Raw genomic sequence first — 25,821 nt, forward strand, 5'->3', positions numbered from 1 at the left:
GTCACTTTGATCCAGGAGTTATTTTGAATGTATTTTACGATTTCAGAAAGCATTTCAAATGGTTATTTTTGCAATTCATTTTCACACTTTTCCTCTCTCTCCTCTACCTCTCCCCTCTTGGATCTCTAGGAATGCATAGATTTTTAGAAATTCAATATTTTATACTCCATTATCTTCATTTTTTTTCTGTTGCCCAAATTGTTCTGAATTTGGTCCATGGGAGCAATATAGAGATATGAAATTTGTCTCTTTACCATATTTCAGGGATTGTTTATGTTTTTCTAAAATAAAAAGTAAACTTTTTTGAAGTATAATATACATAGCAAAAAAAGTGTACATCTCCCAAGTTTACAACTTGTTTAATTTTCACGAAGTTAACCACACTTGTAGTAACCAGACCCAAAATAGAACATGACTGGCCCCCTACAAGCCCCTGCCCCAGTCTTCCTACCGGTCACCATCTGTCTCAGTCAGCATGGGCTGCCATAACAAAATACACCTGGGGGACTTCTAGACAGCAGAAATTATTTTCTCCTGCTTCTGGAGGCTGGAAGTCCCAGATCTATGTCTGCTAGGGTTGGGTTCTGGTGAGGACCCTCTTCCTGCCTCACAGGTCTTTCCTCAGCGGCACGCGGAGGGCGTGGAGAGGCAGAGAGTTCTTCCTCTTCTTATAAGACCACCAGTTTTATAGGGTTAAGGCCACTCTATGACCTCATTTGACAGTTACCTCCCAAAAGCCCTGTCTCTGAAGACAGTCACATTTTGGGTTAGGGAGTCAGCACACATAGTTTGGAGGGCCCAGCCCACTCCATGGTCCTGTTCCACCCCACAATGAGGGTAGCGCCCCTCTGACTTCTGACGCTGTCCATGGGTGTGGCCTGCTTGGGGCTGTCTGTAAACAGGGTCGTGCAAAAACCTTCCTTTGCTCCTTTGTAAGATCCAGCCATGGTTTTGCATGTAAGTGGGTTCCGTTCATTCTCAAAGCTGCTGTGGTGTGAATATGTGGCTATTCATCCATTCTGCCGTTGATGGACATTTGGACTATTTAAGTATGGGGCAATTAGGAGTCATCCTATGAATGTTTTTACACAGTTTTTTGGTGAATAAAGGTTTTTACCGGGATATACCTAAAGAACGGAGTTGTTGGGTCATAGAATATGCATACATTTAACATGAGAAGACTACTGAGCTGCTTCTAAAATCCTACTCTAACATTCATTATAATATATATATAACTTGAGCATTCTGAGGTTTTAAAAAAGTATATTTTAATTCCCTCCCTTGTTTATTTCCAATCAATTCATCTTGAGTTATATGCTGTTAATGTCCAGTATTTTAGTTCTATTTTCTTTTCTTTAATTTCCAATAATATGTTTAATTTCTATTGTTTTGTACAGCTAATGTTGTTTGTTTGTTTTTGAGATGGAGTCGTACTCTGTTGCCCAGGCTGGAGTGCAGTGGCATGGTCTCAGCTCACTGCAACCTCCGCCTCCTGGGTTCAAGCAATTCTCCTGCCTCAGCCTCCCAGAGTAGCTGGGATTACAGATGCCTGTCACCACGCCCAGCTAATTTTTGTATTTTTAGTAGAGACGGGGTTTCACCATGTTGGCCAGGCTGGTCTTGAACTCCTGACCTCGTGATCCGCCTGCCTCAGCTTTCCAAAGTGCTGGTATTACAAGCATGAGCCACTGTGCCCGGCTGTACAGCTAATGTTTAATGACATTGACTATGTGTGGGTTTTTTTTTCTCTCTCTCTTTTTTTTTTAAAAGTTCTGGGCTACATGTGCAGGATGGGCAGGTTTGTTACAGAGGCAAACGTGTGCCATGGTGGTTTGCTGAACCTTTCAACCCATCACCTAGGTATTAAGACCAGTATGCGTTAGCTCTTTTCCCCAGTGCTCTCCCCACCCACCCTCCCCAGACAGGCCCCAGTAAATGTTGTTGCCCTCCCTGTGTCCATGTGTTCTCATTGTTCAGCTCCCATTTATAAGTGAGAACATGTGGTGTTTGGATTTCTGTTCCTGTGTTAGTTTGTTGAGGATGATGGCTTCCAACTCCATCCATGTCCCTGCAAAGGACGTGATCTCATTCCTTTTTATGGCTGCATAGTATTCCATGGTGTATATGTACCACATTTTCTTTATCCAGTCTATCATTGATGGGCATTTGGGTTGATTCCATGTCTTTGCTATTGTGAATAGTGCTGCAATGAATATACAAGTGCATGTATCTTTATAATAGAACGATTTATATTCCTTTGGGTATATACCCAGAAATGGGATTGCTGGGTCAAATGGTATTTCCAGTTCTAAATCTTTGAGGAATAGCCACATCATCTTCCAAATGGTTGAACTAATTTACATTCCCACCAACAGTGTAAAAGCATTCCTATCTCTCCACAGCCTCACCGGCATCTGTTTCTTGACCTTTTAATAATCACCACTCTGCTGTGAGATGGTATCTCATTGTGGCTTTGATTTTCACTTCTCTAATGATTAGTGATGTTGAGCTTCTTTTCATATGTTTCTTGGCCACATGTATGTCTCTTTTTGAGAAGTGTCTATTCGTATCCTTTGCCCACTTTTTAATGGGGTTGTTTGTTTCTTGTAAATTTGCTTAAGTTCCTTGTAGATTCTGGATATTAGACCTTTGTCAGATGGATAGATTGCAAAAATTTTCTCCCATTCTGTAGATTGTCTGTTTGCTCTGAAGATAGTTTCGTTTGCTGTGCAGAGCTCTTTAGTTTAATTAGATCCCATTTGTCAATTTTTGCTTCTGTTGCAATTGCTTTTGACAATTTCATCATAAAGTCTTTGTCCGTGCCTATGTCCTTAATGGTATTGCCTAGATTTTCTTCTAGGCTTTTTATAATTTTGGGTTTTACATGTAAGTCTTTAATCCATCTCGAGTTAATTTTTGTATAAGGTGTAAGGAAGGGATCCAGTTTCAATTTTCTGCATATGACTAGCCAGTTCTCCCAGTTTCCAATTTTATTCTTTGCCATTCCTTCTGATATCTCAATTATCATTTAGGGATCTTTCTCTCCTTCTTGAAGTTTGCCCTTGGAAACTCCTTTATGAAATATCTATTGATAGTAAACTTGCTTTTTTTTTTTTGAAAAACAAAATTATCTTCAGTGCTCATTCTTGAAAAATGGCTTTGCAGGATATAGAGGTCAAGGTCAAAGCATTTCCTTTCAGTCCTTGAAGGTATTATTCTGACCTCTTGTTTTTTCTGTTGAAAAGTCTGCTGTTGGCCGGGCGCAGTGGCTCATGCCTGTAATCCCAGCACTCTGGGAGGCCGAGGCGAGCGGATCACGAGGTCAGGAGATCGAGACCATCCTGGCTAACACGGTGAAACCCCGTCTCTACTAAAAATACAAAAAATTAGCCGGGCGTGGTGGCGGGCGCCTGTAGTCCCAGCTACTCAGGAGGCTGAGGCAGGAGAATGGCGCGAACCCGGGAGGCGGAGCTTGCAGTGAGCCGAGATCAGCCACTGCACTCCAGCCTGGGTGAAAGAGCCAGACTCTGTCTCAAAAAAAAAAAAAAAAGTCTGCTGTCAGTCTGATTGGCATTCTTTCCAGGAGGTCTGTGTCTTTTCTCTATGGTTACTTTTAAGATGTTCTCTTTGTTTGTATTCTGTAATTTCACTAAAATGTGTCTAAATTTGACTTTCTTTTATTTACCCTGTTTGGGGTTTCTCAACCCTTCAAAATTCTCAGCCATTATCTCTTCAACATGGCCTTCCTCTGTTTTCTTCTAGAAGTCTGAGTAAATGAACGTTCTACTTCCTTGCTCTGTTCTTCATGCCGCTTATCTTGAACCTGTTTAGAAATCTCTTTGTCCTGCAGATTTGTCTTCCAGTTCACTAGTTCTCTCTGAAACAGTGTCATATCCTCTGTTAAACACACCATTACACTTCTAATTTCAGCTATAATTTCTTCATATATATATACATACACACACACACACATATGTTGTTGTAAGTTCTATTTATCTCTCTTTCAAATCTGATTGGTTATTTTGGATAGTCTTGTGTTCCTTAGTCATATTTTTTTATATCCCCTCCCACATGTAAATATATAAAGTATACTTATTTTTTAAAAAGTAATTTGTATCCAATGTTCATAGGTCTTATTCTGCTGTTTGCTCCTTCTGGTGAATCTCACTCATGTTGGGCAGTTTATCAATATATTTTGTGATTTTTTTGAAGAGGAATTCTTGTTGAATAGAGTTCTATCTGTAAGAGTCTATGAGTCTGGCTTGGGGTGGGTTCTTCCAGAAACAACTCACATAGGCTGCCGGATGCCTTGGAACATGACCAGCTAGAGCCTCTATTAGCCTCATTCTCAGCTTGAGTTTAGGACACACAGGAAACCTAAATTCTGATGCGGAGGCTGCGTGAATATGGGCTTATAGTTAGGAATTCTTAGAAAAGTCCTTCCCTGCACCTTCCCAGAGCCAGGGCTAAGGCAGGCAAGTTTCCGTATTGTCTCCCTTGATAAGCAATTTTTATTAAGTTGTTCGTCGAGGGTTTCACCTGGTGGAGGTGCCAGCTCCCTGTGGCACTCTCAGGCCTGATTTTCCATCCTGCGTGGTCTCAGATTTTGATGCCGTTCTGCATCCAATGCGCCTGGCCACAGGGGACTGCTGTGGCTCCTCTCGCCTTGACCCCACTTCCCTCTCTGGACTTCTGCTCACTCTTGCCCGCTCAGCCATGCATTAAAACAGGAAAAAAATAACTTTATTCAGTATTTTACATGTTTTGTACCAGGGGTGTTTTTCTAGATATCTAATCTGTAATAGTGCATGAATGAAAGTCTCTCATGGCTTAATGTTTTGAAATTCGATCTGGTGTTGGCACTTTTTGTGAAACAGATGGCATCCTGAAAGCAGAGACCATCAAAGCCATCCTGACCAGACATTCCTTCCTAAGTTCAAGAAACAAGCAGCACAGGAGGAAACAACTGTCTTACAAGAGTAAATGCTTCTGAGAAGAAGAAACTCTACTGAAAATATCCACATAAAGAGGTTATAGCAAACCAAGAAAAGAAGCACAAAAGTAATTCAGAACTGACAGAATCAAAGCAGAGAGTTTAAGAAGTGGGGCTGAAGAGGCTGACCTGGCCTGAAGCAGGCATCTAGAAGTTCTCATTAGTGACAAGGGGCGGAGGTGGCTCCGGAGAAGCAGGAAGCAGACACAGAGAGAGGGAGGGAGGATGGCAGGAAAATGCAGGGAACTTTGTGCTCATTCAGAAGAAACTCCCTCTGATGTTTAAGGATCTGGCTCCTTGAGAGAAAAGCACAACCTCCAATCACAGAGGTTCAAGATAGAAGCAGAGTTCAGTGGGGCCCTGGGAAGGTGTCACCCGGGCGGATGAGCAGCCCTCACAATCTGGGGATCAGGAGGGCTATGGGCTGTAGAGAACTGCCTGGGGCCAGTGGGGAGGGTCCCCAAGGCCACAGCTGTTGTGCCCTCTGGGTGGTGGAGGACACACATGTGCCCAGGGCTGTAACTTCCAGTGCTTTTCATGTTCCCCCACCTGGGCAACCCCAGGGCTCCTTGTGCTCCTCAAGTGCCCTGCACTCCCCTGCTCTCCGTGCTCCCTGCTCTGTGCTCCCCATGCTCCTTGTGTGCCCTGTGCTTCCAGGGCTCCTTACATTCTCCATGCTCCTCATGCTGTCTATGCTGCCCTGCTCTTCGTGCTCCTGGTGCTCCCCATACTCCTCTTGTTCCCCATGCTCCCCATACTCGTCATGTGCCCTGTGCTTCCAGGGGTCCTTACATTCTCCATGCTCCTCATGCTCCACATGCTGTCTGTGCTCCCCTGCTCCTCGTGCTCCTAGTGCTCCTCGTACTCCTCATGCTCCCCATACTCCTCGTGTGCCCTGTGCTTCCAGGGCTCCTTATATTCTCCATGCTCCCCATGCTCTTCGTGCTCCCCATGCTCTCTGTGCTCCCCTGCTTCTCATGATCTTTGTGCTCCCCGTACTCCTCTTGTGTCCTGTGCTTTCAGTGCTCCTTATATTCTCCATGCTTCCATGCTCTTCGTGCTCCCCATGCTCTCTGTGCTCCCCTGCTCCTCATGATCTTCGTGCTCCCCGTACTCCTCATGTGTCCTGTGCTTCCAGTGCTCCTTATATTCTCCATGCTCCCCATGCTCTTCGTGCTCCCCATGCTCTCTGTGCTCCCCTGCTCCTCATGATCTTTGTGCTCCCCGTACTCCTCATGTGTCCTGTGCTTCCAGTGCTCCTTATATTCTCCATGCTCTCTGTGCTCCACATACTCCTCGTGCTCCCCATGCTCCCCGTGCTCCTTGTGTTCCCATGATCACTCTCCATGCTCCTCCTGCCTCCTCTGACTCTGACTTCTCCTGCCACAGGGGATGTGGACCAGGGAGGAATCGGAGTGGAAGGAGAGTGCGGTCTTGTCTGACTCTGGTTAAAATTTCTCTTTTTTGCTCATCACCAGGATGTAACTGTGGGAACACTTTGCTAAGGTCCCTCCCAGGACCTGCACATGTGCAGCCTCTGGTCTTTGTGGTTTTGCATAAATGCCCCATAAAAAGCAGGTTCCAAAGGGTCAATTGCCATCAATGTGAGCTAAGGTTATTAGGAAAATGTGGACTCTACATTGCCGTCTGAGACTCGGATTGGGGATCTGGCTGGTGCCGCGCAGGGCTTGGCAGACGCTTCCTGGCCACGCTGACCCTGAGAGAACCCACAGAGACTGCAGGGTGCTGACCACAAGGGCAGTCTGTTGGAGGCTTCAGCCTCCAAAAGTGGGGCACCAGCCCTCCTCTCACCTTGATGTACTGTGTGTTGCTGTTAGTGATGTCCCAATGGCATCGATTCAACCCACCACGAAGGCGCTCCTCTCGGAGAGTGAGTCTGCAGAGATTTGAGACCAGGTGTGCTCCAGGATGGAGTTAGGCTGGCTGGCTGCTGCTGCTGGAACTTTCCTGGGGAGCCTCAGCTTCTGGGTTGGAGAGGCAGCCCGGCAGGAGTGCCAGCTCCACACAGCAGCCCACGTGTTCTGTGGCTTCAGCTCCATTTGTCAGGGTGCAGGGTGGTGGCCGGCTGACCAGTGTTCCCCTTGGCTGTGGCTTCTGCCAGGAGCACAGAGGGGAGCATCAGCATAGCTCTGGCAGATGCCCCAGGTCCCACTTTATCACTTCTCCCCCCATCTCCTGCCTTGACTGCAAAATGAAAAATGCTGAACTGGAAAACCTGCCGGCAGATGCCCCGGCCGCCTGTGAAAGCATCAACTTTCAAGGCGCCAGCAGGGTGCAAAGTGTTCATTAAACCTCGTGACCCCAAGCTCACATGTCTGTGCCAGGAACACACCCGCCACCCTGGAGCTGTCCGGCGCATCCAGCAGGCTCTGTAATCAATCACAGTTCAGAACACAGCAGCCAGACACAGAGCTTTCAATAAAAGTGTGGTCTCAATGATTTCCCCTGTCATGCTCAGCAAAGGGCTGCTCTCCTGGGGAGAGATGCACGGGACAGCCTGGTTTCCCTGGTTCCTCCACCATAGGCTGCTTTGGGGCGGGAAATAACAAGAGCTGGCGGATGCAGCCTCACCTCGCTAGAGCCAGGCATTGTTCTGCACCGTTCTGGAGGTGGGTAAACCCGGGTAAACACAAAGCAGATTGGGGGCATGTGTTCTGAGCGCTGTCGTCCTCAGCACGCTGCAGGCACTGAAATGTACGTTGGCGACTTTTTAACCCCATTGTTCCCAGGCTGCTTTGGTAACTGGAGAGCTGTAGTGCTTCTTTGCTACATCATGGAAACTGCTTTAATGAAAATAGACTCCTGCATCCAATTATATGGTTTTTAAAGCCTCTTTCTCCAAATGAGGGCCATAGGAGGGCCTTTCAAAGGGAACCGCCCTCAGCCCTCCTGGGGCTCAGCTTCTCCTTCCAGCTCTAGGGGTCTTTACAGCGCCATGCTGGGAGTGGCTCTGGGGTCCCCTTGGTCCACCAGGAGGTGGGCATCTGAGGCTATGTTTCTCTCGGGTCAGGTTTGCAGCTGCTGCAGAAACCGCCTGTGTGCAGCCTGTGCCTTTGGGTCTCGTGAGGGCAGGCGGCAGCGTCCGTGCTGTTAGGATTGCATGTGGATTCACGCTCCTCAGCGTGACCTTGGTCAAGCCAGCGAGGCCAGCAGGGATGATGGAGAAAGCTCCAGCTCTATGCTCCTGGCCCCAGCCCAGTCCCTGTTCTGATGTCTCAGAAGTGAAGCAGGCAGTTGGCCTGGAGGATCCAGCTCAGGGCCGGAATCGGGCCGGGCTGACCTTCAGCCTCGATGCCTGCTGGCTCTGTGGGCTCCGGTGCCTCGTGTGACTCCCCTGTGCCCCCACGGCCTCTTGTAAAATCCAGCATGGAACTCACAGGCAGAAGCCGTCTGCTGGGCCCCAGAGCCTGCTCTGAGCTTTCTGTTGACTCCTGGCACACTGTGCACAGCACTGGACACGCACTGACCCTGCAGGCGTGGGTGTGGGGCCTGGAGACAGACGTGGCTTCCTGTGGTCACACAGCCAGGACAAGAGCCTTGGGCTCCCTAGGCTGTCTGAGGTCCGGGACCGTCGAGTCTCTGCCATGCCTGCTGTCTCAGGTACCTCCCAGCCCCGCAGGTCACACCCCGGAGTCCACCACAGTCCAAACTCTCTTCCCCACAGGAGTGAGTTAGCACCAGGGACAGGGCTGAGGTCGGATCAAAACTCAAGAGGAACCACGGGATACTGGGGCAGGCGGGGACTGCAGGCTGATTTAGTTCAAAGACTGTATCTTTCTGGTGTCAATGGAGGTCCAGAGAGGTTGATCGACTTTTTCTGGGGTCACACAGCCAGGGAGTGGATAGGAGAATGTTTCAGATATAACATCTGGTCCTCAAAATCTGGGCCAGTTTCCAGACACCAGTGTGGGTGGCAGAACATGTCTACAGCACCTGAATCTCTAGGGGACTGTGATGGGCACTGCTGATAATTGCTTCCCTGTTGTGGCCTCTGCAGAAACCACACAGATCCCTCCCGGGAATCTGGTTCAGACACCAAGACCTGTGGCAACCCCCCACCCCCGCCACCCCTCCACCTCAACACACACACCAGGAGGATGTGAAAAGCTTCTTTCTTCACACTGCGAGGCTTTTTGGGGGAGCAGGGTGGCTCCGAGCTGCCCTGAGGATGGATTGAGAGGGCGGGGCGGGGAGGGGGACCTGGGTTCCCGTGGCTGGGCTTGGATGAGGGTCCTGCCTCGTGTGGTCCTGCCTGAGGGAGCGGCCCAGGCGTGGGAAGGAGGAGGAAGGGCTGGGCTTGACAGATGACAGCCCAGTGTCAGAAGACCACACCCCCAGAGGTCCCCTACGGGTCTTCACCAGTGGCACTTAAAACACAGCAAGGAAAGCGCCTGGTGGGAACTGCATGTGCCCCATGGGGTGTCACTGTGGGCGTCACTCGCTTGCACCCAGGAACGCAGGCTTCTCAGTGGAAAATGGCAACAGCTCTTCTCCGATCTCGAGGTCTCTTAGCAGACTCCAGAGGGAGCTGGAGAAACCTCTCTGCTCTATCAAAATAACAACCAGCAAGTTATTCTGATCCTGTTTGATGAAGGCAGGCCGGCAATGCCTGTTTCTCTCATGAGCATCCTTCGCCCTGGCCTGGGGCTGGGGGACTTGCTGGGCCTCCCAGGCTGGTCGTCATCTCAGGAAGTTGCCCTTTCTTGTCTTGAATTGCATCATATGGCCCAAAGACCATGGGTTTAAAACAAAATCCCAATGGGGCTCAGAGCTCCTTCTGAAGCGTGGGAGGCGGGGGGCTGACGCGTGCTATGGGGTCCAGCATCTTCTGCTCAACTTCGGGTTTTCAGGGGGCGCAGAGTGGATGGCGCAGGTTCAGCTTCTGCCCCCAGTTAGGCCCCTTCACCCAGAGCCACAGGTGAGCTTGGCACAGGCCTTGGCCTCTCACTGCATTTCCCATTACCTCATGTCCCCGAGCTGGCCCTGCCCTGTGCGATCCTCTCCTGATGCTTGGACGCAGAGCTCTGGCCCCCGTGGGCCCCTCCTCACTGGCCAGTGCCTCTGCCGCCACCTGCACCCCCAGAACAGGCACCACGCCCACGGCTGAAAGACGGGAGGGATGGAAGTGGGGCTTTGAGGAAAGCCCAGTGAGGTCACCCCTCAGAGCACCTGGGTGAGTGAACAGGAGGTGGGGAGCTCTGAGCAGGGCTGGGTGAGTGAACAGGAGGTGGGGAGCTCTGAGCAGGGCTAAGGACCAAGCAGACCAGGCCTGAGTGCGGCTCCAGTATTGGGGATACCTGGTTCCCAGGTGAGGGGGCACATGATTGCTCCCCCAAGAGGTAAACTGAGCAAAAGAAGGCTTGGCCTGGGAGGAGAAATTAAATGTAAGGGACGGCAAGATTTGAACACCTTGGTGGGTCAGGGCAGCCATTTAGCGTGATCTGGGGTCAGAGCTGGACGGGTGCCCAAGGACCAGCTTATCCAGTTATCGTTTTCCACAGATGAGGACCCTGAGGCCCAAGGGGCTTGGGAGATGCTGTCAAAGTTCCGTGACTGGACCCAGGGCCTCCTGCCCACTGCTCTGTTTGAGCCTTTTCCTTCCATATGGACAGGTGGCTGTCTCACCCAGCTCAGTCCCACGCATGCCTCATTTTTCTTGGTTATCCTAAGGGTTGTTTTTCTAATTTTTAATTTTAAACACATTTTTTCATTTATTTCATTTTCACTTCTAGAATTTTTATTTCTGTTTGAGCTCGTTCATTTCTCTTTAAAAATAGTTTGCCATCTTTTCATCTATATATTTAAAAAATTTTTTTCTGATATTTTAAAAATATATTTTTTATTTTAAAACAATTTTGAAGCTATAGAAAAACTGCTAGGATGCTGCAGAGAGCTGGTATACTCCTGGCACTCAGGATTCCCCTACTGCTAACCTCTTACATTCATTCGCTGGATGTGTCCTAATTAGTGAGCCAATATTGACACGCTGCCATTAACAAAAGTCCGTAGCCCATTCACATTCCCCTGGTTTTCACCTCATGTCCCTTTTCTGCCTGAGGACCCTGTGCAGGATCCCATGTGACACGTCGTGGTCACGCCTCCTTAGGCTCTTCGTGGCAGTGACAGTTTATCAGGCTTTCCTTGTTTTTGATGATTGTGAGTAGTACTGGTCAGGTGTTTTGTAGAATGGTCTTCAAATAAGATTTGTCTGATGTTTCTTCATGATTAGACTAGAGGTAAGTGTTTTCGGGGGGAACACCCGAGAGGCGAGTGCCAGTTTCACTACGTCTCATCATCCGAGGAGAAGTCCAGCGTCGCTTCCGCCTCTGTCCCCCTAATGGTGAGGCGTTTTCCCCTCTGGCTTCTTTCACCATTTTCTCTCTGTCTTTGGCTTTCTGTCATTTGAATATGATATACCAAGGTGTAGATTTCTTGGGATTTATTTTGTTGATCTCTGAGCTTCCTGGATCTGGATCTGTGGTTTGGTGTCTTTCATTAGTTATGGACTGTTCTCAGCCATTATTACTTCAAATATTTCTTCTCCCTTCTCTCTTTCTTCTCCTTCTGGTATTGTAATTATGCATGTGCTACACTTTTTACAATTCTTCTGCAATTCTCGGATGTCCTGAATTTTCCCCATTCTTGTCTCTCTTCTTAAACTGAAGTTTGGGACATTTCTGTTGGCCTATTGTCAAATGCACTAATACATTTTCAGCTTTGTCCCATCTACTGATGAGCCCAGAAAAGGCCTTCTTTGGTTCTGTTACAGCTGATTCCTGCCTTTCCTTATGATTCTTTCTTAGAGCTTTCACCTGTTCCTGCATGCCGTCCACTCTTCCATGAGAGCCTTTAACATATTACTTTACATTCCCTGCCTGGTAATTCCAAAACCTCTGCCACATCTGAGTATTGTTCAGATGATTGTGTTTGCTCTTCAGTTTTTTCTTACCTTTTGGCATGGCTTGCAATATTTTGTTGAAAGCCATACGTGATGCATTGAGTAATAGGAAGGGTGGAAAGTGGGGATTTAGATTGAAGTTTTATTTTAATCTGGCTAGAGTTAGGCCACGTGTAATATTTTCCATAGCTCTAGGTGCCAGAGACTTCAAATTCCCCTAATGTCCTTGCGTGTGTCTCCTCTTTTGACTTTGGACTTCCCTAGGTCCTCCTCTTTAAATAGAATCCATATCTGGTAGCTCACTCAGCTGTAATCCACTGCAACCTGGTCATAATAGAACCCTGGTTGTGTGGTAGTCAGGTGTGTGGGAAGGGAGCATGCTACAATCTTATAATGAAGTCTCTGCCTTTCACTGGGTCTGCCTCTTGGCCTGTGACCTTCACTAGTGTTTTTTCAGTGGCATAGGGTCCCCCACTGTGGTGAGACAGGAAAGCTCCAGGGAGCTGGAGTGGGAGGAGTGCCTTTTGTCCAAGTGGGATAAGGCCCTGGTAAGGTCTGTTTGCCTTGGAAAGGCGGTTGCTGTGGCAAATGCCCTGGCTGTGCTCCACAATGATTACTCCTCTCCTTCTCTGCCAGACCCAGAGGAGGTCTTTTTGGATCTTTGAGAACCCAGCGGGGTTCCTGAAAGTAAAACCCATAAATGTGAGAGCCCCAGGACTGCAGCTCCAGGGAGATGCTCACCCTCACATGGCCCATGCCCAGCCTCTGCCACCTCCTCAAAGCCATCATTATGCTCACCTTCACGTGGCCCATGCCCACCCTCTGCCATCTCCTCAAAGCCATCATTATGCTCACCTTCACATGGCCCAGGCCTGGCCTCTGCCACTTCCTCAAAGCCATCATTTACATGTGTGCACTAGTTTCTGGGTCCAGTGGCTTTGGCTTTAGGTAGGCAGATCTCAGCTGTGATACTCTGTGTTCACCTGTTTCTCCAGGTGTCAGGTGGCACTCTGCCCTTTGACCTTGGTTCTTTCATGGGTCCAAGACAAATTGATGATTCTCACTTAGTGGTTTCCAAGCTCTTTACGTGTTGGAGCTGAAGGGAAAGTTCATCCCAGAATTTTGGCCAATGTTCTGGAAAACGAGCCCCCTCCCAGCTCAGCTGGCCCCTTCCCTGTGAATTCCTAATGGTCAGCTCCTGAGGAGAGGGAGGAAGCCCAGAGGCTGCCAGCCCCTTCCCACAGGCCCCGCTCCCACCCCCTGCATTCCCTGGGCAGAGTCAGGGACACGGGCTCTTCCCACAGGCTTCCTTGAGGAGTCCTCGTTCAGACACCGTGACTGGGGCTGAGCTACACGTGTGCACTGCTGTCCTGGCATGACCCTGACCCCTGGGTGGGCTCATGTGGCCCTGGGAGAGCTGGCGGCAGGACAGGAGAGGTCTTGGCCACCCCCCACCTCCCTCCCCTGGCTGTTCCCCAGCACTGCTGTTGACTTTTCCACATCTCCTGGTGTCTCCTCCACACACGGGCCCTTCTGACCTGCAGCCTGGGCCAGAGCTGACCCTGCACCTGCGCTTCCCAGGGCCTCGGCTGTGGCTGTGGGTAGCTGTGGGAATGATCCTCTTCCCAAGGTCCCAGGCAAGTGGTGGGAAAGACCCTGCCCCTGTAGGGCCTCCCTGAACCTGGTGCCCCTGAGTCCGGAGCACAGGCCCCCTGCCCTGGACGTCCTGTGGAGAAGCCGAGGGCGGTTCCACCTGCTTTCTGGGGTCCAGAGTCTGCCCCCCCGAGTCTTTGCCCTGCAAAGGTCAGGCGGCTCCGCCTTGTATGCCCACTCTGTCTTCGTGGTCACTCCCTCAGCCCCTGTTCTCATTTGCCTGTTCCCCTCTAAACATGGGCAGGGAACCAGAGACTGTCACTCACACTCAGCACAGACACCTGGGCAGGGCGCTGGGGCCTCTTTAGGGCAGGAGCTGAGACACCCCTGATGGCAGTGGCCCTCCTGTCCAGTGAACACAGGCCCCGGGCTGGGAGCACAGGGGGCTCCGGGAGGACAGCCCTGTGGCTCTGAGCATGCAGAATGTACCACAGGGGCAGGCGTCCTTGAGCCAGGACAGGCCTGCAGGGTCTCTGCACAGGGAACGGGCACACATCCTGGGCACGAGTGGAGGTTTGAGTCTCACAGGCCATACCAGGGAGCAAAATGTTCAGTGCAAGGCAGAGTTCGTCTCCCAGCCAGGGCCCCCTAAGCCAACTTAGAGAGCCTGCGGCTGGCCTGGCAGCTCCTGAGTCTGGGGTTACAAGCCTAGGCCTGAGTGTCAAGTGCGGAGGCCACAGGACACGGGGGCTGCTGGCCCCTGAAACTGCCACTCAGTAGCAGGTTCTACAAGTGCAAACAGAGGCCGGGGTGGGAAGAGGCAGGAGGGGGAAGAAAAGGCAAAATGCTTCAGCAACACCCTTTACGTTTTGCTTACATGCTGGAATAATATTTGTTACATTGGGTTAAACAACACATATTACAATTAATACCTGTTTCTTTTTTCTCAGTGTTACTTAGCTACTAGAAAATGTAAAATTTCATATGTAGCTGGCAGTGCATATTCCACTGGATGAATCCTAGTGCAGCAGAAACACCATCTGGGCAGCATCGAATCCCCCTCACCTGTGATCCTGTGGGTGAAGGGACACGGCAGGAAGGAAGCACGGAGGCTTTGCTGAGGGTGTGCAGTCCCTCGTGGAAACTCCTGGCACAAGTTCACTAAAATGCAAGCGCTATGTGCACTTTCATAAGAACGTGTACCTTGAGGCAAGCCTGGCCGGCAGGGAGTGTGCACACGCTTTCCCCTGCAGTGTGTGCAGGGCAGTCAGATAAGCAGGGCCCACAAGCACGCGGCCTTGCTGAGAGGCTCCAAGGAAGGGAACCCAAGGGGAGCCCACACCCAGGGCCGCTGACTCCATCCCAGGCTCGCAAGACTCAAGTGGGGTGACTAGGAGAGAAGGCAGGCACCCCCAGCCAAGTCCTCTCATGTTCTCTGATGAGTTAGAGATGCTCTCGGGTTGTGAGACCCTGAGGTTGCCGTCATGGAGGGTCTTTGAGAACATGTGGCTGAGGTGGAGAGAGTGCTGGCCTGGCTCGCAAGCCTGAGCTAGATGGGTCCCCCAAAGAGAGCCCATACCCTGGAGGACCCTCGCCCCGCTCCACAGGGTGAGTCAGGGGACATGTGTGGGAAGCAGAGGCCCAGACTGTAGGATAAAGTAAAAAGTAAAAATGCAACACACACCACACACACACACACACAACAACTCGACCTCGCACGGCACAGGGCTGGCCCTCGACTCAAAAGAGCAAAAAACGTAGATGGGCTGTGCCAGAGTACCAGCACCCACAGCAGAAGGAGCTTAAAATTAATTCCTTCATCCATTCGGTAACAGCTGATGACACGGAAAAGAGATGCAAAGTCATGCTTTGGTGGAGATGACACGCTCCACATCAGAAAACTCAGACAATAGACAGGAGCTCCATCCACACCATCAGTCAGGAGTGACGTGGTAGAGGGAGGGCAGACAGTGAATAGGTCTCTCGGTAAAGTTTTATGATGTTTTCCTCAATTGTTCTGTGCATCTTTTATTTGATTTTTAAACTGTAAATGCTTTTGTCAGCTGGGCGCGGTGGCTTACACCTGTAATCCCAGCACTTTGGGAGTCCAAAGCAGGCAGATCACGAGGTCAAGAGTTCGAGACGAGCCTGGCCAACATGGTGAAACCCCATCTCCCACTAAAAATACAAAAATTAGCTGGGTGTGGTGGTGGGTGCCTATCACAGGAGGCTGCGGCAGGAGAATCGTTTGAACCTGGGAAGCGGAGGTTGCAGTGAGCTGAGATTGTGCCACTGCACTCCAGGCTGGGTGACAGAGCGAGACCCCATCTCAAAAAAAAAAAAAAAAGGCTTTTTTTCTGGATGATGGAATTATGATTGATTGATTGTGAATGCTGGGTTTGCATCCAACATACTTGCTACCTTTTTTTTGTTTGTTTTTGAGACGGAGTCTCGCTCTGTCACCCAGGCTAGAGTGCAGTGGCGCAATCTCGGCTCACTGCAAGCTCTGCCTCCCGGGTTCACGCCATTCTCCTGCCTCAGCCCCCTGTGTAGCTGGGACTACAGGTGCCTGCCACCACGCCCGACTAATTTTTTGGATTTTTAGTAGAGACAGGGTTTCACTGTGTTAGCCAGGATGGTCTTGATCTCCTGACCTCATGATCTGCCCGCCTCGGCTTCCCAAAGTGCTGAGATTACAGGCGTGAGCCACCGTGCCTGGCTGCTACTTTTTATTATATCTAATAATATACATGTAAATCCTTTTAAATTTCTATGTTTATCTCTTGTTTCTTATCTGTGTTATTTTCTTTTCATTTTGTTCATTTTCTCCCTAACTCTTATAACTATACTGCTGTAGTCGTTATCGAGCTCCCTCGACAACCACGTTAATTCCTCAGGAGGGCCTCACCTCTTAACATGTCTGCCTCCACTCTGCACCTCATCTGGAAAATGGCAATTAAGTTTCAACATGAGTTTTGGGAGAGACATTCTAACCACAGCAAATACCATTTGTGAAGAACGTTTCTCTTTTATTCCAGATATTGTTTCATTATCCTCTGTGAGTGTCTCTCTCTCTGTCTTTGTCTCTCTCTGTCTCTGTCTCTCTGTTTTCCTATGTCTCTGTCTCTGCTTCTGTCTGTCTTTCTCTGTCTCTCTGTTTCTCTATGTCTCTCTCTCTGTTTCTCTGTATTTCTCTGTCTCTGTCTGTTTCCCTATGTCTCTGTCTGTTTCTCTCTTTCTGTCTCTCTGTTTCTCTATGTCTTTCTCTCTGTTTCTCTCTGTATTTCTCTGTCTCTGTCTGTTTCCCTATGTCTCTGTCTCTGTTTCTCTCTGTCTTTCTCTCTCTGTTTCTCTATGTCTCTGTTTCTCTCTGTATTTCTCTGTCTGTTTCCCTATGTCTCTGTCTCTGTTTCTCTCTTTCTCTGTTTCTCTATGTCTCTCTCTGTATTTCTCTGTCTGTTTCCCTACGTCTCTGACTTTGCTTCTCTCTGTCTTTGTCTGTCTCTCTGACCCTGTCTCTGTCTCTCAGTCTCTCCCTCCTATGAGTGACAGCCATAGCCTCTCTTAGAATGCTAAATGGAAGCGTTGTTAGAAGGCCTGTCTACTGTGTTCTGGTCTGACGGGGACAGTTTCTCTGTCTCGCCATTTAGTGCCGTACTGTATTTGCTGAAGGTTTTTTGAAGACCCTTTGTCCAGTTAAGGAAATGCCTTTCTATGCTTAGCCTGCTGAGAACCTTTTCATGACTGGCTGTTGAATGTTCCCAGATGCTGTTCTGCATTTGCTAAGGTGGCCACGCGGTTTTCTTCCTGACTTTGCTAGCGTGAGCTCCAGGAAGGCGGGCCTGTCCGTGTTCACCGCTGAGCCCGCCCGGAAGGCACCGTTTACGAAGCACCTTGCACATCCGGCTCCATTCTGCACCCTGGCTTCCTCATCTGGAAAATGGGTCCATCTCGGTGATCTGGGCTGGAGACCTCGGACTCAGGGCAGTGCCAGCTGGGCCCCAAGTGGAGGTGACAGCTGGGGACCAGAAGGGGCTACCGCATAGCCGGGGAGTGAGGGGCTGGTGCTGGCCAAGGCGCCTCTGACTGACCTCTGCTCTCTCGCCAAGTACCCAGGAGATGTCCCAGAAAGAACGGCAGCTCCACTGAGATCTTGAACCTCAGAGACCCCCTCCCAGGGCTCTGACACGCGGCGTCCACGGGGTCTTCAACTCACCCGTGAAGACCCGGCACCCTCTGAGGGCAACTCCACCCCACCTTGCAGTCCCACAGCAGCTGAAGCCCAGCAGGGCTGGGGGCTGAAGACCCTCCAGCATGGCTCAGGACCTCGGAAGGGCCAGGGGAGGCGGGCTTCCTGCAGGAGATGCCGGCACTCCCCAAAGGACTCTTCAGGGTTGGGGGCGGACGTGAAGGGAGGAAACCCACTCACCCTACTTGAATTCTGAACACGCACATGGATCTCGGTTCCACCTCCCTTTACAGTCTATTTAGGTCCTGCTCCACCTTGGAGTTCTGATGCCCATGAGTGGGGCAGAAATTCCCAGCATCATGGCAGGGAAAGTCGGTGGGGCTCAAAGCTCCAGCCAAGAATGGCTCTGCATCTGCCTGGTTCTCTCTTCAATCGGGGCTTCTGTGGCCAGGACACTGGCATTTCATAAATAATTACACATTCCTTAAACTCTCACAAAGCCAAGAGGAAACAAAACCGCAATGCTGAGATTCCTGGAATGTTTTCCAGTTATCTGGGCCAAGCAGAGGCCCAGTGGGGGCTGTGCAGCGCGCTTAGCCTGGGACTGGGCCGTAGTCCCCTTTCTTGTGGCATTTTAGCTAAAAGACCTGAAAGGAAAATGAAAGGCGCTTTATGACTGTGGTGTTCGTCAGGGTCCCCAGACAATGGGGGAAGCCCATCCAATCCTCAGAGCTGGCTCGGGGCAGCCCCATGGATCTGTGCCCTGGGACTGACCTCGGGGCCAAGAGAACCCTCAAAGGCTGAGGTCACCCCGCCAGGGTCGGTTTAGGTGTGGCGCCTCCTCTGGACGCCCCTGGGATTGCCTGCGCGCCCGGCCCGGAGCTCCTGTTCCAAGCAGGGAGCATCCCTGGACCGTGCCCTCGTTCCTTTGAGGTTTTCTGTGGCACGCACCACAGTTTAATGCGACTCACCCCAGCCATGCTGGGGCTGGTTTCCTGTTACAAACACAGGCTTAGTTTTAAGATCAAACAACTGTTTGGGTTGTGGTCTGACCTCGCAGGGGATGTGGCTCAGGGCCTGGTGCAGCCTGGCCAAGGGGTGACGTCCGGTCATGCTGGCTTCATTCCCTGAGCACCGCAGCCTTCTCTGTGTCCCCTGTCCCTGCCCACCTGGCCTCCTCAAGCGTCTGTCCAGCCCAGCCCAGGTTGCGCTCAGCAGTGGCTCACTGGCCCCTCTGCCATCCTTGCCACCGATGCCCAGCCTTATTTATTTGGGGTATTTCTGGGCCATTCCACCCACTCCTCTTGAGGGCACCCAGCGTGTCCCTTGCCCTGTGTGGTCGGCGCCCATCTCTGAAGTGCGGGAAGCAGGAAGCAAGGCCTGCTGATGGGAAGGACCCACGGCTCTGGCTAGAATGGCTTTGGCCCTAAGCCAAAGCTGAGGGTGTGGGGAAGCAGGAAATCCAGTGTGGAAGCCATTTTGGACGTCAAATCAGTGGGTCAGGGACTGCTCACACAGGGTCGTCTTCTTGTGACTTTTCAGGGACTTGCTTTTACCCCCCTTCTCTGGTGAGCTTTCTAGACAAGGCTGCGACATGACATTCTCATTCTGTTTGGAGCAGGATGAAGGGTTCGTGCGTAACACTATGAGGCGTGGACGGGGCTGAGAACTGGCGCATGGCTGCCACCTGCTGTGGTGGTGACCACCGGGAGTCTCCCTCGCAGGCTGTCTGGCTCAAAAGGTGACAAAGTTCCAGCCACGGGGCCCCTGCTCAGCCCTGAGGACACCCACACTGGCACAGGGGACACTGCGGCAGTCAGGGAAGGGCACCTCCCCACGCTGGCACAGGGTCTCAGCACAGGGGACACTGCGGCACTCAGGGAAGGGCACCTCCCCACGCTGGCACAGGGTCTCAGCACAGGGGACACTGCGGCACTCAGGGAAGGGCACCTCCCCACGCTGGCACAGGGTCTCAGCGAGAGACTACGGCATTTGGGGAAGGGCCATTTTGTCATTGACTGGAACTTTCTCAAGAAAGCATTTTCCACTTGCGTTTCCATGGAGGTCGGCTTTGCTGGAAACCACAGGACCCTGCCCTCCACCAGACACACAGTGTGCAGAGGCGTGTACCCGAAAAGCAAAGTGCGGCCTCACACGGTTCTTTAATCTGGAGCCGGACTCCTGGGAAACAAACCAAACAGACGCAGGTACGTGCTCAGCTCTGCCGTTGCGGTTTGGTTCAGGACTAGGGCCGTGCAGATGCCTGGCAACAGCCGTGCCTGGGGGAGGATGTGGCGCTGGGAGCCCGCAGGCCGGGAGCAGGCGCCGGGGGAGCTTCGGCGGTTCTGGAGGGACTGGGTGTTCCCGCCAAGGCGTTGCTGGCCAGGGGCACAAAAAACAGCGCGGATGGGAAACGGAGCAGCCGCACTCTGTCCGATGAGTCCACACGTGGGCGGCTGCGTTCAGTGCTCCCTGGCACGGGGACCCCAAGCCGTAAGCCGGACACCACGTTCCCAAAGCCAGGAGGGTCATGACATGTGCGTGCGGTGTCCAAAGGCCAAACCAAGGTTGCGGTCCCTGCCAAGTAGGCAGTGATTCACACCTGGGGAAGCGATGTGATTGGCCTTCTTCTATTCAAATAATGTAAGCATAAGGGACAGAGAACGCCAGTGCTTGCGCTTGACAAATCTCTGGGCATTTTGCCAAGGGCCGAGCTCGGCTCCCCACCCCCAGCCCTGCCCCCCACGTGACAAGGCCCCATCGGCCCCCAAGTCCATCTGAGCTCACACTCACGCAACAGGCAAGCCTCCTTCCAAACGAGTACCCTTTCCAAAGCCCAAGTGGCCACTCCCCCACCATGGGGCTGGGACAGAGATGACCGTAGACCTCAAGCCGCTATGGGGACTTGGGTCACAAGGTGCCGCAATGCCCGGGTGCCCCCTGTGCCTCAGTTTCCCCATGTGGGAAATGACTCCATATTGGCAATGTGAGGCATCGAATATCTGAGACTTGGGCAGCGTCTCGTTGCCAAGTCAGGGCACTGCCAGCCGGGCCCAAATTCAAGGCGACGGCCGAGGCTTGAGGCACCACGGCCCCAGTGGTCAGCGGGGGGTCAGCGGGGGGTCAGCGGGGCAGTCAGCGGGGCCGCCATAAGATGGTGGGGCCGGTGGGGGGTTTCAGAGGCAGCTCTTCCCCTCACACTCCGATGCCGCGGAGAGAGCCCAGGGCTGCAGGTGGGGAAGGGCGTGCCTGCGTCTCCGATGGAGGTGACCTCTGGGGCTCTCCTGCTTGCTGCCCAGGTCGGACGTCCCTCTGCTGGCCCATCTCCTGCGCCACACCCACCATTCCCTTCTCACCCCCTGAAGCTCCCTCGTCCTCACAAAAGCAGCAGGGCCACTTATGCGCCGTCCTGTTTTTCTGGACACCATGACCAGGATGGGACAGGACTCGTGAACCCACACGTGAGATCACACTAAGATCCTAAAGGCTTTGCGCTTCTCCAGAGCGGCTGCTGTCTCATGCACACCCGGCCTGGTGTGCCCGCCCCACCCAGTGTGCCCATCCTGCCCAGTGAGTGTCCCCCCCGTGTGCCTGCCCTGCGTGGTGAGGGCCCCCCTCCCAGTGAGTGTCCCCCGCCCGGTGTGCCTGCCCTGCCCGGTGTGCCTGCCCTCCCGGTGTGCCCTCCCACTGGGTGTGTGCCCGCCTGGTGTGCCCTCCCCACCCCACCCCACCTGGTATGAGCGCCCAGGTCAGCCGGGCTGCAGGATTCTCAGGGAGTCCAGGCAGCCGCCCCAGCCCCTGGCAACCCCTTCTCAGCAGGCTGGACCCAGAGCCTCACAGGGGCGTCCCCAGCACTTCCTGCCCCTGGGGTTCCTCTTCCCTGATTCACCTGAACCCAGACCGCACGTGGCAGACACGTTCCTGCCCAGACCCGGACGCCTCCATCTGCTTGGACCACTGGCTTCCCTCACGCTTTGACCGTCAGAACAGACAGGTGGTTTCTTTTAAACCTGGGCCACCCCGTTTTGCCCTGTAAATGCTGTTATTTTTAAAGCAACTGAATAATGTGATTTTCCTGCTTTGCTTCACGCCAGCCCTGGGCTGCGACTCTGCTGCTGCCTGCCCTTGCCCTGCCACTCCTGCAGAGGCCTCCTCCCCACCCACAACTCACAGTGGCCACATGGGCTGGGCTTCTCACCTCGGCCACCTCCTCCCATGTCACCCATGTGATGATGACGGAGGGCCCAGGGGTGCCAGGACTCAGAGCCGGAGCCTCTGCCCTAGTGCCTGGCTCTGCGTGGGAGGTGGGGTGGCCAAGCTTCAGCTGTCTTCTCAGTGGGCCTTTGACACCACTTTGTATCTTCCTATTAAAAATGTGTGCAATGCTGTAATGGAGGGGGGCCTTTCCGTCACCTTGGTGCCAGCACACACTCCACCCTCCAGGGAGGCCACAGGATCTGGTGAGGACAAGGCGCCCTCCACGGCAGCACAGCTGCCACAGCTTCCAGGGAGATCCCTGGGGGCCCACCGTGGGACCACTTGCCAAGCTGCTCCCCCTTCTCCGTCTCTTTCCTGACCTGCTTCGTCCTCTGGAACCCAGCCAGGCTGCTCTCCTCAGCAGCCTTCACACACGGGCGTGGCCATGAGGCCACTGTCCTTCCAGAGAATCCAGGGGACGGGAGGTGAGCCACTCCCGACGGGCGAAAGAGTCTTCCTGCGTGTCCCTCTGGGACCTGTGGGCCAGCTGGTGGGGAGACAACAGCCCCAGAGACCGTGAAGCCTCTGCCACGGCGGGTCTGCGTGAAGGATGTCCTTCCTGGTGGTCCACACTGCCGCAGAAAAATGACCCCCAAACTCAACGGGGTTCTGAAGGGCTTGGCTGGGTGGGTCTGGCTCAGCTGAGCAGCTGTCCCAGGCCATGGCTCTGAAGCCTCCACAGGGCTGGAGGGGCAGGTCCAAGCTCACCCCCAGTGCTGGCAGGTCGCGGCTCCTCGTGGCTGTGGGCCGGACGTCTCCTCACCATGAGGGCCTCTCCACGCAGGGCCCCGCACGCAGTGGCTGGCTTCCTTCAGGACGAGTGACCCAAGGCAGACAGAGTGACCCAGAGGGAAGCCACAGGGTCCTTCAGGCCCTGGACTCAGGAGTGGCATCCACTTGTGCTCTGGTCACATGGACACACCTGGCCCGGCATGGGAGGACGACACACAGCTTTGAGTACCTCCTTGTCTCTGGGCCGTCCCGGGCCCTCAGGCCCCAGAGATTCTGTGATTCTCCCAGCAAAATGCAGCCACTCCTCCCAAGGCCCCCAGAGTCTGCTGCCGTGTGAGGGCTCTATTGGCCCCAGGAGACTTTTCGAGGGTCCTGCACAGCTGCTGGCAGGCTTTGGTCCTTGCGGGCTGTTGTCTGGAGTCCCGTGCACCTCGGGAGATCGCTCTGTTCTCGCGTCGCCTGAGTTCCCACGGCATGGCTGCTGGCTTCACCCAAGCCCGTGACCCAGGAGACAGAGCAACCAGGAGGGAGACCTGGCATGTCCAGCCCAGTTTCGGAAGTGACCCATCTGCACTCTGCCGCATGCTGTCGGCCGCACAGACTCACCTGGGACTACGTGGAAGAAACCGCAAGGGCGTGAGTGCCAGGAAGCCAGGCTCACCAGGCAGAGCCGTTGCATGAGCAGGACACAAACCTCCGTTGTGTCAGGATCTTTCCATCCCAGGGACCACTTCTTGCCGCAGATTAGCCCTTCCCACAGACACAGAGACTGGAACCTTCATGCAGGGTGTGGCCAAAATATATTTCTACAGCATAGTTACACTGGGGAGGAAACAGACAGGGCAGGTGGAGACTGGGGGCCCTGCCAGGGGCCAGGGTCTGCGGGAATGAGGGGGCAGACCACCCCCACCGAGCCCAGATGCCAGGGAAGGAGCCTGGCCAGAAAGATCCAGAAGGACTCAGTGTCTGGCGGCCCTCGCTGCTCCCCATTCTTTGAGGCCGTTGTTCCCAGATGGGATGTCGGATGCGTCTCTGGCCCGGGCCCCTGGTGAAATGTGATGGAGGGGTGTGGATGGAGCGTGGTGGACACAGCAAGAGCCTGGCCAGGCATCCCTGGGGCAGGACAGCATCAGCCGGGGAGCGGGGTCTAGCCCCAGCCGCCTGGCACAGAGTGGCGCCCAATTCTAGAGCTTGAATGAAAGAGGGAATTCAGGAAGACGCTTACACCAGCCAGGCCCCGGGGCACTCAGGACGGTAGCATCACGGGGTGCCAAAGTCTGCAAAGGTGACAGAGGACGTGGGGCCTCGGCAGGGCTGCCTCCACTTCCCCAAGCACACGGAAGACAGGCAGGGTGGACGGGGGTGACCCGGCCTGGGACCTGGGCTGTACCTTAGACCTCAGTTCCCCTCCACATGGAAGCAGCACCAAGACCCACAAGCCCTCGCTGTGGGGACCCCCGGCCTCACCCACCACCGTCCACATGGCCCCCACACCCACGGCGTTCATCTGGGCCACAAGAAGTGTTCCTCCAGGGCACGGCCCACCCAGGCCCACCCTTGGAGCTTCCCTGGTATGGACTGGCTGGGCTGGCAGAATGGGTCAGGGTGCCAGGCAGACTCTCAGGGACTTGAAGCGAGGACAGAAAATACTCCCCAGACAAGGGCAGACACAGGAGGGAACAATGCCTGAGGACACAGGCCTGAGGCAGGCCAAGCGCTGCCACGCGTGGACTGGACGAAGGCCTGCTAGGCATGGCCTGGCTGGAAGTGAAGAACCGAGGCAGCACCTCTGGCTTGGAGGGAGCAGGTGGGAGCCCTTGCACTGGCTTCCTCTCCCCTGTTCTTATTCTTCTGGAATTAGGGAGGCTGCTGGGAGGTAGAGGAAGCACCTGCCCCAGTCCTCAGAGGACAGAATCATGCGAATGCTTAGTTACCGAGACCTCCTTCCCACCTGCACGCCGGGCCAGTGGCTCTGCCCGTGACAGCCCCGGGCCTGGCCTGTGCTCAGCACTCATCACTCTTGGGTCTTCCAGGCCATGGTGGCATTGCACGCCCTGCCCTAGGTGTGGGGTTGTTTCATGTTTCAGAAGCCGAAGGACCTGCCCTCCCTCTCATCTCAACACAGCGCCTGGCAGAGAAGCAGTTCCTCTGTCTACTCCAGGGGCTCACACGCCCCTCTGTAGCCCGAAAGTCGGCCTCGGATGTGATAAGCCAGGAAACTCCCTGGTCACCAGTGCATAAGCCCTCAGGGGCTCCAGACGCAGCAGCTGGTTCAGAATTTGTTATCCTGGACTAAAGCCTCCCCTTGCACCACCGTGGGGGTGGAAGGAGGTGGCTTGTCTGAGAAACACCAACATGGACAGGGACGTTCACTGTCACAGAGACAAGGCCTGGCCCCACCTCCCCACAGGACTCCCTCCCCAGTGCCTGGTCTGACGGCAGAACCAGGCAACACCCAGTTCCGCTCCCCTCACCCTTGCCTTCAGAAGCAACAGATAACGGCAAACCCTTGCGTGCAGCGACCACATGAAGACCGCAGCTGCGCGGGCTGTAGTTTCTTACCCTCTGTCAGCACGCACGGCTCTCCAACAGATGGGCGATTTCAAGTTGCTCTGCATCTTAAATGACCCCTTGATAAAACCCCAAACGGCTTTGGATGGGTCTGTTTCCTGTATCTTAAGCACAGAAAAAACAGCCCAGATGTTTCTGATTCATTCAAGCTTTAGTTCAAGAGCACGCTCTGCCGTGGGAGTTTCTTTGAAACTGAGGAGACACACAGGCCCTTCCTCCACTCCCTCCTGCCTGGCTGAGAAAAGGGACTTGCTTGCAGCCACCTGAGAGCAAACAGCACAGGTGCATGGAAGAGGGTCCCGCAGAGCCCTGGGGAGCCCGGCTGGGGACTCTGGGAAGCGGACGGCATCCACACGTGTCCACGCATTCATCGTTGGTACGAGATCCAACTCCCTACCTCCCGGGGGTGCAGAACGCAGGGTCCAGGGAGACGGCAGCCACCTTGGGGAGGATTCGGCCTTGTGAGATAGCAAGGTCCTTCCCTCAGTGGTCGTGGCCTCCCCAGAGTCCTACACCCCTCTGCTCTGCCCCCAAAGCCTGCACCCCCTTTAGAGGCCCCCTGAGCAT

General features: G+C 53.3%; 1 long non-coding RNA gene across 1 annotated transcript, besides 2 other annotated features; it reads right to left on the minus strand.

The window, feature by feature from the left end:
- Nucleotides 21,823-22,062: an enhancer, noted in NCBI's record as "active region_22303". NCBI's record gives its function as "activates an Ori minimal core promoter by ATAC-STARR-seq in GM12878 lymphoblastoid cells {active_cell/tissue: GM12878}" and the evidence as "EXISTENCE:reporter gene assay evidence [ECO:0000049][PMID:35858748]".
- LOC124900931 (uncharacterized) lies at nucleotides 23,465-25,308 on the minus strand. The gene is made up of 2 exons (XR_007058676.1): nucleotides 25,246-25,308; nucleotides 23,465-23,873 (listed from the first exon to the last, which is right to left on the minus strand). It is a non-coding gene; the product is annotated as an uncharacterized LOC124900931 (long non-coding RNA).
- Nucleotides 24,737-24,896: an enhancer, noted in NCBI's record as "active region_22304". NCBI's record gives its function as "activates an Ori minimal core promoter by ATAC-STARR-seq in GM12878 lymphoblastoid cells {active_cell/tissue: GM12878}" and the evidence as "EXISTENCE:reporter gene assay evidence [ECO:0000049][PMID:35858748]".
- Nucleotides 25,309-25,821: the final 513 nt, after the last annotated feature.

This window comes from Homo sapiens, chromosome 5, assembly GCF_000001405.40.
Source record: "Homo sapiens chromosome 5, GRCh38.p14 Primary Assembly".
In the NCBI taxonomy this organism is placed as follows: domain Eukaryota; kingdom Metazoa; phylum Chordata; class Mammalia; order Primates; family Hominidae; genus Homo; species Homo sapiens.